This window comes from Homo sapiens, chromosome 14 (assembly GCF_000001405.40).
Source record: "Homo sapiens chromosome 14, GRCh38.p14 Primary Assembly".
Lineage (NCBI taxonomy): Eukaryota > Metazoa > Chordata > Mammalia > Primates > Hominidae > Homo > Homo sapiens.
In genome coordinates this window covers 36,560,243-36,573,254 of record NC_000014.9, presented here as the reverse complement: position 1 = coordinate 36,573,254, position 13,012 = coordinate 36,560,243, and the positions used below count along the sequence as shown (strand labels likewise).

Genomic DNA, 13,012 nt, shown 5'->3' with positions numbered 1-13,012 from the left:
CAGCATTAACTTTCTCCCACCATTGTCACCATATGATATCTTAGTCAACTGATCTGCAGCTACAAAGGAGGACCTAGAATTCTAACTTCTTAGCAATTAATGATGCTGTGAAGCCACAGGCAGATAAGTAATTTTCTGATTTTACTTACTCAGACTTGATAGAGGGCAAGAAAGCAATTTCTGCAAAGATGGGATCATAGCTCATTGTTTGCAAAGCAAAGGAAGCAAACAACAAAGTGCAAAGGCAACCTACAGGATGGGAGAAAATATTTGCACACTCTATATGTGATAAGGGATCAATATCCCAAATATATAAATAACTCACACATCTCAATAGCTTAAAAGAAACCCAATTATAAAATGGGCAAAAGGGCTGGGTGCAGTGGTTCACGCCTGTAATCCCAGCACTTTGGGAGGTCGAAGCGGGCAGATCATGAGGTCAGGAGATCGAGACCATCCTGGCCAACATGTTGAAACCCTATCTCTACTAAAAATACAAAAAAATTAGCCAGGTGTGGTGGTGGGCACCTGTAATCCCAGCTACTCGGGAGGCTGAGGCAGGAGAATGGTGTGAACCTGGGAGGTGGAGATTGCAGTAAGCTGACATCGTGTCACTGCACTCCAGCCTGGGTGACAGAGTGAGACTCTGTCTCAAAAAAAAAAAAAAAAAGCAAAAAATCTGAATAGATATTCCTCAAAAAAAGAACATACAGATGGCCAAAAGATACATGGAAAGGTGCTCAATATCAATGATCATCAGAGAAATTCAAATAAAAACCACAATGAGATATCACCTCATGCCTATTAGGATGGCTGTTAGCAAAAAGTCAAGCAATAAGTGTAGGCTAGGATGAAAAGAAAAGGGAATCCTAGTGCACTCTTGCTGGGAATGTGAATTGCTATGACCATTAAGAACAGTATGAAGGTGCCTCAAAAATTAAAAATAGAACTACCATATGATCAGCAATCCCACTGCTGGGTATACATCCAAAGGAAATGAAATCAGTACCTTGAAAAGACATCTGTATCTTCATGTTCATTGCATTATTATTCATAATAGCTAGGAGGCGGCAACAACCTATGAATGGATAAAGGAAATGTAATATTTTAATGGAATATTATTTCACCACAAAAGAAGGAAATTCTGCCATGTGGGACAACATGGATGAAACTGGATAACATTATGCTAAGTAAAATACTCCAGGCAGAGAAAGACAAATGCTGTATGACCTCACTTATATGTGGAATCTAAAAATGTCTCAAACACACAGAAACAGAGTAGAAGAGCAAAGGTGGGGACTATGGAGAAATGTTAGTAAAAGGCCACAAACTTTCAGTTATAAGATGAACAAGTTCTAAGATACAGCATGGGTGGTGATGGGTATGTAAATTAATTTGACTATGGTAATCATTACACAGTGTACCCATATCAAATCATCACATTGTACACCTTGGATGTATACAATCTATATTTGTCATTTAAATGAAAAAAGTAGTTCATCATTTCATTTTTTTTTAAAAAAGCCAAAATGTCTACCAAAAAAATTCAAATTAACTCTCTTAATCATTCTGTTGACCCTTAACTTTATGAACATAGCTATCTATGGCTGCTCTATCCAGCTGATACTTTCTCATAACCTCATGGCTCTTGCTCGAGACTTTCCTTCATCCTGGTTCTAGGAGGTCCTCACCAAGACCTCCTCGATTCCCACGTTTGATTACACGCTGATGACCTTGGAACCCTCAGGTCATCTCAGGGAAGTCCACTGTGCTTTCATCATCCAGTCATCACACTTTTGCCCTGGAACTTTTTTTAGACTATACGTTTTGCTAGAAAATGTTCTCCTCTATAAGTCACCAGACTCTTTTCTTCAAGTGGTTTCAGTTTCAGAACTTCTACTTTGTCCATAAAGCTTTCCCTAATGAATTGAAAGAGAAGAATTCTTGTTAGGTCTATCTGGTCTAAAGCTGCAACTAAATTCAAAACTCTTTCACTCCAAAGGCAGTGTGATAGAGTGGATAGAGCATGGACTTGGGCATTAATGAAGCCTTGATTCTGAAGTAAAAAATTTCATGTTGGCTGTCACACTGATTGTGTGCAATTACTTTTAGTCTCAGTGTCTTCAAACTTAATCTAGAGATAATGTCATCTACCACATATGGTTAATACCCATATTAAATGCATGTATACATGTATAGTATCTGATACTTGGCACTGAACAAATGTAGTCCCTACTCCATTCTATAGAATGCATATCTTTTACATATATCCAATATAATATTCAATTTGTTTACTTGATTACAGAGTCAGCCTGGACTAGGTTTTGTAGAAACATACAACCCTAACACAACAGTGGTTTAACTACAAAGGTTTGTTTCTTATTTATGTTCCATGTCCCTGCAGCCTTGCTCCATTTTGTTTTTATTCTAGGAACTGAACAGAAGAAGCAATTCCTTATATAGGACATTTCAGTCTTATGGCAGAAAGGAAAGAGAACATGGCAGAACCATGAGATGGCTGTTAAAGCTTTTGATTGAAAAGGGCATGTATCACTTCTCACATTTCATTGGCTAAAGCAAAGCCACATGATCAAACTTGAGATCAGCATGACAGGGAGGGGTATTACAGATAAGACTTTGAAAAATAATACACTCTATGACATTTGTATTTTTCTTAAATGTTTAATTTATAGCCAAATATTATGCATGTTTGCAATGTTAATTATCTTCTAAACTTCCAGAAGAAGAACTATGGCAATGTGATATTTCACACTATAAAGCATATACTACATGCATGATATACTTTACACTATAGACTCCAGAAGAATTCGGGAACTATGTCTTTTCCCACTACCTTGAGCAACATCTACACCACAGGCTCTTGGTGACATTTGGGAGAGTGTTCATCACTCAATTTTACAGGCAGGTCGAATGGCTCCAGAACACAGTCATTAGGAATGAGGAAAGGCACTGTGTTTACCTGCCTAATTTGAGGGCTGTTCCTGTGGAGACTATTCTATCATGACTCATCTGTAGGATGATAAAAACCACTGCAAGGACCCAATTGCATTCTCATTTGTTTTATTACTTAATCATTCTAGACAGTCAACTTATGTTATGATATGGGTATCAGAACAATGCAAGGACAAACAACAGTAATTCAAAAAACAGCAGATAAATTTGTCAGTCTAGTTTCCAGATAAATCCACAGCATAGCCTGGCATATTACCTGACAGAGATAAACACACAACCACACAAAACTTGTTTTTAATTTAGGCCCACAATTTTTTTTTTTTTTTTTTGAGATGGAGTCTCGCTCTGTTGCCCAGGCTGGAGTGCAGTGGTGCCATCTCAGTTCACTGCAACCTCTGCCTCCCGGGTTCAAGCAATTCTCCTCTCCCAGCCTCCCGAGTAGCTGGGACTACAGGCACACGCCACCATATCCGGCTAATTTTTGTATTTTTAGTAGAGACAGGGTTTCACAATGTTGGCCAGGATGGTCTCAAACTCCTGACCTCATGATCTGCCCGCCTTGGCCTCCCAAAGTGCTGGGATTACAAGCATAAGCCACTGCGCCCGGTCTTAGGCCCACAATTATTTTTTATCCAATTGTCAATTGATGAGTATTTATATAATTGTATTTTATATAATTTTTATTGTTACATAAAACACTGAAATGAACTTTCTTATAGGTGTTGAGCATCTGCATCAATATTTCTTAAGGATAAATTTCTAAGTGTGGATTGTTGGCTGAAGTGGTGTATATACATCTCTAGGGCTTTTGATTCCAAACCATTAGTCCTTCCATCTTTCACTATCTCCCAGTCCTTTGATGCTCTCACTTCCTACCTTACCCAACTTAAGTTTCACAACAAATCATTATTACTCCCTTGCACATACCCTCAACCCCCATTCCCCCTCACTTTATTGTACTTGTGACAAAACTATAACTCTTGTTAAATCTAATTCTCATCTACTGTGTACCTGCACTCAGCTACTCTCCAATGCCCCTCTCTGACATGTCTATTAAGCTTGATCATGTGGCTTTGCTTTAGCCAATGAAATGTGAGAAGTGAGACACACCCTTTGCATTCAGAAGCTTTAACGGCCATCTTGTGGTTCTGCCATGATCTCTTTCCTCTCTGCCACAAGACGGAAATGTCCTATATGGGGAATTGTTCCTTCTCTTTGGGTCCCAGAATGAAATGTATAATAAGTAAACATTTAACTGTAAAACAAACTTCCCAACTATTTTCCAAATTGGCTATACCATTTTGCACCTGCAACCAGGCAGCTGGAGAAAAATGCACGACCTTATTGACTGGTCTCATGTTAAAGTTATGACCACCAACTTCAAATGGGTCCTTAATGTTGGCAGGTCATCATGCTAGTTGTTTTCAGACCATTCATTCTCCCACTATGCTTCTTGGCTATTTCACACGATTTTATTTTTCTCAACTGCCTCCTCTCCCATCCTTGCATTCAGATTTCTACCTCACTGTGAAAACTGAAGCAACCAGAAGAGAGAACAAACACTCAAGGCTCCTCCCACCACATTACTGTCTTCATGGCAAGTGTTCTATTACACTCTGTCTTCCCAGCTGTTACTACAGATGAGTGGTCCCTGCTCCTGGCTACTCCAAGGATGTCACTCTAGCAATACTGCTCTCTTGCTTCTTTATTATCATTTTTCATCTACTGCCTCATTCCTATCAGCATACAAACATGCTGCCATTCCCCCATCTTAAAAATAAAACTATTTTCTCTTGACCCGCCTTCCTTGCCAACTATCATCCCCTTAGCAAAACTCTTTAAATTCTTTTGTCTGTACTCAGTCTTCAATTTCTCCCTTCCATTTTTTAAAATATAGTCATCATTGAGGTAGACTATAATAAAACTATAGAAAGAATGGGGTTTCACCATGTTGGCCAGGATGGTCTCAATCTCTTGACCTTGTGATCCACCTACCTTGGCCTCCCGAAGTGCTGGGATTACAGGCGTGAGCCACCGTGTCCAGCCATCATTTTATGTTTTTGGCGTTTTTATAATGGTATTAAAAAATTTAATTTCTAATTGCTCATTACTGGTATATAAAATACAATTAGGTGTTGTATATTGATTTTGCATATTGCAACCTTGCTGAATTTACTTATTATTTCTCTTAATTTTATATATACCTTAGGATATTCTGTTATCTGCAAATAATGGCAGTTTTACTTCTTATTTTCTTCTGTATGCCTTTTATTTTTATTTATGCATTATTACATTGCCTACAACCTCTACTGCAATGTTAAGCAAAAGGACTGAAATGGAATCCTTGCCTTGTTTCTGATTTTAGGGGGAATGCAGTGAGTCTTTCATCAATAAGTACGATGTTAGCTGTAAGATTTTTTTTTTTTTTTTTTTTGAGACAGGGTCTTGCTCTGTCACTCAAACTGTAATGCAGTGGCGTGATCACTGCGGAGTGCAGCCTGAACTTCCTGGGCTCAAGTGATCCTCCCACCTCAGCCTCCCAAGTAGCTGGGATCACAGGCACATGCCACCATGCCTGGCTAATATTTTTATTTTTTGTAGAGATGGAGTTTCACTATGTTGCCCAGGCTGGTCTTAAACTCCTTGACCCAAGCAATCTTCCCACCTTGGCCTCCCAAAGTGCTGGGATTACAGTCATGAGCCACCATGCCTGGCCAATATTTTTTTTATGCCCTTTATAAAGTTGAGAAAGTTCTCCTGTATTCTGTGAAAAAATGTTGTGTTTTCTTATATGATTTTTCTGCATCTACTGATTCTGCATCTACTGCATCTACTGATTCAATTCTTATTTTAGTCTATTAACATGATGGATTACATAGACTTTTTCTGTTTTTATAAAAAAAATTGTGGTATAAGAACCTAAAATTTTTTGTGATTTTTGAATGTTAAACCAACTTCACATTCTTGGTATAAATCCTCACTTTACTGTGATTTTTTAAAAATATGTGTTTCTGGATTCAATTTTCTCAAAGGTTTATAAAGGAGTTTTCCACATATTCATGAGGGATACTGGTCTGCAGGGTTTTCGTTTTTATCTTTTTAAATATCTTTATCTGATTTTTGCCAGACATTGTGGCTCACACCTGTAATCCCAGCACTTTGGAAGGCCAAGGCAAGTGGATCACTTGTGGCCAGGAGTTTGAGACCAGCCTGGCAACAGGGAAAAACCCTATTTCTACTAAAAATACAAAAATTAGCTTGGTATGGTGGCGCGCACCTGTAATGCCAGCTGCTGGGGAGGCTGAGACATAAGAAGCACGTGAACCTGGGAGGCAGAAATTGCAGTGAGCTGAGTTTGCACTGCTGTATTCCAGCCTAGCCAACAGAATGAGACTATGTCTCAAAAAATAACGAAATGAAATAAAATAAAATATCTTTATCTGTTTTTGGTACTGGGATTAATGCTTGTCTCATAAAATGACTTGGAAATTGTTCCTTCTTCTTCTATTTTCTGAAAAAGTTTTAGTAGAATTGGTACTATTTCTTCTCTTTGTTTAGTTCTGTTGACCAGTAATACCACATGAGTCTGGTATTTTCTTTGTGGGAAGGTGCTAAACTATGAATTCAACCTCTTTAATAGATATAGAGCTATTCAGGTTATCCATATCCAGTCTTGAGTAAGACTGGTAGTTTGTGTGTTTAAAGCAATTTTTTCATTAAAACTAAGTTATCAAATATATTGGCATACATTTTTTTCATAACATTCCCTTATTATCATTACAATGTCTTAGGATCTGTGTGAACCCCCCCTTTTTATTCCTCACATTCATAATTTTTGCCTGTCTCTTTCTCTCTTGACCAATCTGGCTATACTTTTATCAAATTCAGTTATCTTTTTAAAGAACAAATTTTTTGTTTTATTTATTTTTGTTTTTTATTCTACATTGATTTGCAGTCATATCTTCATTTTTCATTCTTTCCACTTACTTTGCATTTAATTTGGTCTTTTTCCCTAGTTTTAGGTAGAAAGTTAGATTATTGATTTTAGGCCTTTCTTATTTTTTAACATAAGCATTTATTACTGTTAAGTTTTTTCTAAACATTGTTTTTGTTGCATCCCACACATTTTGATACACTGTGTTTCCTTTTCCTTTACTTCAAATTATTTCTAATTTCTCTTACAGTTTATTTTTTGACCCATGGGTTATTTTAAAGTATATTTTTAATTTCCAAATATTTTAGGATTTTTTTCAAATATATTTTTCTTCTTTATTTCTACTTTAACTCCATTGTGGTCAAAGAATGTGTTCTAGGCCAGGCGTGGTGGCTTAGGCCTGTAGTCCCAGCACTTTGGGAAGTGGAGGCAGGCTGATTACTTGAGCCTAGGAGTCTGAGATCAGACTGGGCAACATGGCAAAACCCGTCTCTACAAAAAGTACAAAAAATTAGCCAGGTGTGGTGGCGCATGCCTGTAGTCTCAGCTACTTGAGGAGGATCACCTGAGCCCGGGAGGTTGAGGCTGCAGTGAGCGGAGATTGTGCCACTGTACTCTAGCCTGGGCAACAGTGAGTGAGACCCTGTATCAAAAAAAAGAAAAAGGAGAATGTGCTCTACATGATTTCAGTTCTTTTTAACATATTGAATTTGTTTAATGCCTGCGCATATAGTCTCTGTTAGTAAATGTTTCACGTGCCCTGGAAAAGAATGTATATTCTGTTGTAATTGAATAGAGAGTTCTATAAATGTCAAATAAGTCAAGTTGGTTGATAATGTTATTCTGGTCTTCTGTCTTTGTTCTAAAAAATTATTTTTACTTGTTCTATCTATTACTGACAGAGGAATGTTGAAATATCCAATTAAAATTGTGGATTGATGTATTTTTCCTTTCAGTTCTATCATTTTTTGACTCATTTATTTTGAAGCTCTATTATTAAGTGCATATAAATTTTGGATTGTTATATCCTTTTGATTAATTGATCCCTTTAATATTATCAAATGCCCTTCTTTATCCTCAGTAATATTCTCTGTTCGGAAGTCTTTTCGGAGATAATATAGCTACTCTTTTTTTCATCAGTGTTTTACATGTTATATATTTTCCATCCTTTTTACTTTAATCTGTGTGCTTTTACATAGATTAATATGTTAAAAATTGATTTTTAAAGTGATTTTCTTGTATACAATGTGTAATTGGGTTAGTATATATTTTATTTAATATCATAATCTCTGCCTTGTAATTGGAGTGATTAGAACATTTATATTAATGTAATTGTTGTATGTATGGTTGGGTTTAACTCTACCATCTTGCTGTTTGTTTCCTGTTTGTCTCTTCTGTTTATTTTTCCTTTTATCCTGCTTCCTTTGGATTAAACAAGGATTTTTAAAATTATCTATTTTTATCCCCACTATTTATTTTTTACTTTTTCCAATTCTATTGCAGTGTAATTGACAAATAAAATTGTATATGTTTAAAGTATACAACATGATGATTTCTTTTACATGTATATTGCGAGATGATCACCACAATCAACTTAACACACGTATTACTCCACATAGTTAAGTTTGTGTGTGTGTTGAGAACACTTAAGATCTACTTTCTTAGCAAATTGCAATTAATCAATACAGTGTTATTAACCACAGTTACCATGCTCTTTGTTGGATCTCTGAACCTATTCATCTTAAATCTGAAAGTTTTTACCCTTTGACTGACATTTCCCCATTTCCTTCACTCCCAACCCCTGACAACTACATTTCTACTCTGATTTTATGAATTTGACTTTTTTAGATTCCATATATAAGTGAGATCATACAGTATTTGTCTTTCTCTACCTGGCTTATTTCACTTAGCATTATGATCTCCAGTTTCATCTGTGTTGTGTATGGCAGGATTTCCTTCATGTTTATGGCTGAATAAACATTCCATTCTCTCTATAAAACATATTCTTTATCCATTCACCCATGGATGGGCATTTAGGGTGTTTATATATCTTGACTATTTTAAATAATGCTGCAGTGAACACAAGGGTGCAGATATTTCTTCAAAATACTGCTTGCATTTCCTTCAGACATATACCAAGAGTGGGATTGCTATATATATGCTAGTTCTATGTTTAACTTTTTGAGAAATCTTTCTACTGTTTTCCATAATGACTGTGCCAATTTACATACCTACTAACAGTGCACAAGCATTGTCTTTTCTCCATATCCTCTCCAGCACTTTTTATTTTTCATCTTTTTGATAATAGCTATCCTAACAGGTGTGAGGTAATAGCTCATGTGATTTTTTTTTTTAAGATAGAGACTTGCTCTGTCATCTAGGCTGGAGTGCAGTGGCATAATCATAGATCAATGCAGCCTTAAATTCCTGGGCTCAATTGATCCTCCCACCTCAGCCTCCTGAGTAGCTAGAATACAGGTACATGCCACGATGCCTGGCTAATTTTAAAATCTTTTGTAGAGACGAGGCACTGTGTCGCCCAGGCTGGTCTCAAACTCCTGGCCTCAAGTGATTCCCCCTGCCTTGGCTTTCCACAATGCTGGGATTATAGGCATGAGCCACCATGCTCAGTCCGTCATTGTGATTTTGATTTGCATTTCCCTAATGATTTTATCTGCACATTTGGTTTACTAGCTATACTTGTTTTGTTTTTCAAAAAATTAATAGCTGCTCTAGGGTGTACAGTATACATCTTTAACTTATCACAGTCTACTTTCAAAAAATATTATACCATTTCATGTATAGTTTAAGAACCTTACAAAGGCATCCTTCCAAATTCCCCCTCATTCCTTTGTGCTATTGTTCTCAGATATTTTGCTTCTGTGTATGCTGTAAACCTTATAATACAGAGTTGTTAGTTTTGCTTATAGTCGATTACCTTTTAAAAACATTTTCTAAATCAGAAAAAACTTTTATATGTATTCACATGTTTACCATTTCTGGCACTTATTTCTTTGTGTAGATCCAGGAATCCTTTATTTCTTGTTGTATAGGGCTACTGGCAATTAACTTTCTAAGCTTTTGTTATCGTTGTTCTTTTTTAAAAAATTGTGGTAAGAACACTTAACGTAAGAGCTACCCTCTTAACAAACTTTTAAGTGTACAATACAGTATCATTAACTACAGATTGGACAATAGTTTTATAGAACTTAACCAACTTACAGAACTGAAATTTTATAATTGTCGAATAGCAACTCCTCCCCTCTTGTTGATCTTAAAATGGTTTTCTTTCACCTTGATTTTTGAAAGATATATTTTCATGGGTGTACTATTCTGGGCCAACAATTTATTTTATTTTATTTTTCTGTCAGCACTTTAAAGACGTTCTGTTGTCTTCTGACCTGTGTGGTTTCTGGTAAGTCAGCTGTCATTTTTTATCTTTGTTTCTCTTTATGTGGTGTATCTCTTTCCCCTGACTGCTTTAAAATGTTTTCTCATTATTAATGGATTTCAATAACTTGATTATGAAGTGCCTAAAGAGGTTTAGTTTATATTTATTCCGCTTGGGGTTTTTGGATCTATGTTTTTTTTAATTTCAACAAATTTGGATTTTGGGGGCCATTATTTCTTCAATTACATTTTATGTCCACTTCTCTTCCCCAAGTCTTCTCTCCTGCTAGGACTCCAGTTAAATGAATATGAGACACTTTGATTAGTCCCACAACTCACTAAGATCTTGTGCCATTTTTTTTTCAGTATCATTTTCTCTTTGTGCTTCATGTTGGTTAGTTTCTATAGCAGTGTCTTCAAGTTCAGTTTTCTTTCCTGGTATGGCATGTTTTACCTCTAGAAGTTTTATTTGGCTCTTTTTAAATCTTCCATTTTTCTCCTCATCAAGTTTATGTTTCCCTTTACATCTTGACCATATTTATAAGATTGTGGTACTTGTTTTAAGGTTCTTGTCTATGAATTCCATGATGTATGGCTTTTCTGGGTCTGTTTCTGTTAATTGCTTTTTATTCTGGTTATGGGTAATATTTTTCTGCATCTTTTAAGACCTGGTAATTTTTAATTGGATACAAAATTGTAAATTTTGCTTTCTTTGCTACTGGCTTTAATGTATTCCTTTAAAGATTGTAGAGGTTTTTTGTTGTTGTTGTGGTTTTGTTTTTCCTGGCATCCAGTTAAGGTACTTCAGTATCATTTAAGGTTGGATTTTAAGTTTTTTTTTTAGAATGGGTCCAGAGAAACCTTTATTTTGGGACTAATTGAGTTCCCTCACTAGGCATGAGCCTTCTGGGGGTGCTAACTATTGTATGGAGTCTCTTTATTTTGGTTAGTGGGAACATGAATGCCTTCCAATTCTGTGTGATCTTCAGAATTGTTCTGGGAAGCCTTTTCCCAGCCAGGGGGTGTTTTCTCTTATGTATGTTCAGATTAATACTCAGCCAAAGTCTCAAAGGGACTCCTCTTCAGATCTTCAGAGATTTTTCTCTGTGCAACACTCTTTTTTGGTACTCTGCCTTATAAGTTCTAGCCATTTTGGTATCCTCAGACCTGATCTTGATCTCTTTAGCTCAGCAGGCATGTCAGGTTCTTTATGTTCTCCTGCCTGCGCTGTGGCTAAACACTGGCTCTCAGTAGTAAGCTAGGACATCCTAAAGTGCATCTCTTTTTTTCCCTTCTCTCAGTGATCAGTCCTATGCTGCCTATTGTCCAACATCTGAAAATGATTATTTCATCTATTTTCATCAAGCTTTCGAGTTGTTTATAATTGAAGAGTGATTCCTATTACTGCTAATTCTCCTTGGTCAAAGGAGAAGTCCCTCGGTTAGATTTTGCCCCACCATTCTGCTGAAACTCTTTGCATGAAGGCCACCAATGATCTCCAGATTGCTAAATCTAATATTGCCTGTATTTAAGATTCACAAAAGACAGTTAACTCTCCTTCAGAACTCATAAAACTATACAGATGGCAGAAGTAGAATGACATGTAAGAGCACTGAGTAAACCTATTTAGCACTTTATTTTTATTTTATTTTATTTTTCATTTTGGACACTTCAAGACCATTGAGTACTGTTTAGCACTTTAAATAAAATTAGTCATGAATTCTTAAAAGTTTCATAGACAGCGTGGAGCTTACCTAAGTGAAATGCACTTGTTTGGAAATGCACCTGGGATATTGTTTTTATTCAGGTATGGTGAGGCCAACACATGAGGAGACAGTTGCCACTGAAAAGGTAGTCTGTTTCTCACAGTTCTCAGGAGGAGGGAGCTTGCAGTACCACACAGGGACACATAGATTTCGAAATGTGGGTCAGAGGAGAGGCAGAAAGAGAAAAGGGAAAGCACGGGCAGAAGCCTTGATTGTGGTTGTCATGGGAAAGGATGGGAGAGAAAGGGTAAGGAGCAAAGCAGGGGTAGGATTGGATGGTTTGAATAATTTCTATGGGCTCTGGGCTATTGGGGTGGTCCTCAGTTGTCCACTGCATGGCCCTGGAATGATTAGAGCAGAGGAATATTGCCTTCTGAAGTGTAAAAACCAGCTAGAGATGGTTTGAAGTAAGAGTTCTGGACTAGTTAGTTTGCATACGAAAGGCATGCTCACAGGCAAGTTGTTTGCTATCTCAGAAATTAATTAACCCTGGGAGGGGCAGGTCCCAAGTTGTCAAAGCATCATAAAATGCAGAAAAAAAAACATGACTGATACACAACTATAACAAACTGACCAACCTCACAGAGACTTGTCTTCATCAGGGAATGAGAGAGGGGAGACAAAGTGATTCCTGGAGGGCTTGGTCCAGTCATGAGTCCAGAGGCCAGAACCCAGAGCCACTGTAGTGAATGGGCCGCTGTCTTCTCACAGCTGGATCTCTACAGTCTTCTTGCTGCTGGTTTTACTTTTCCTCTTCACACTGTAATCATGGTAATGTTTATAATGTATGCCTGATCATATTGCTCATCCACTTACACTCTGCAGTGGCTACCCATTATTCATAGAATCAAGTTGAAACTTCCTAACATGGGATTCAGCTAATATTTAGTCTCATTTCTTGCCATAAGTCACTCCCCCTCAGTGCCCTACATGCACCAAATCCTGTCCC

The 13,012-nt window shown here is 37.0% G+C and overlaps 1 long non-coding RNA gene across 1 annotated transcript in view; it reads right to left on the bottom strand.

Annotated features, from left to right (window-relative positions):
• Positions 1 to 1,008: 1,008 nt before the first annotated feature.
• The window catches only part of LOC105370453 (uncharacterized), a 47,558-nt gene continuing 35,554 nt past the window's right edge, over positions 1,009 to 13,012 (bottom strand). Inside the window, exons 2-3 of the long non-coding RNA XR_001750715.2 lie at positions 12,642 to 12,823; positions 1,009 to 1,078 (exon numbers count right to left, since the gene is read on the bottom strand). This is a non-coding gene — a long non-coding RNA (uncharacterized LOC105370453). The remainder of the gene's footprint in view (positions 1,079 to 12,641; positions 12,824 to 13,012) is intronic.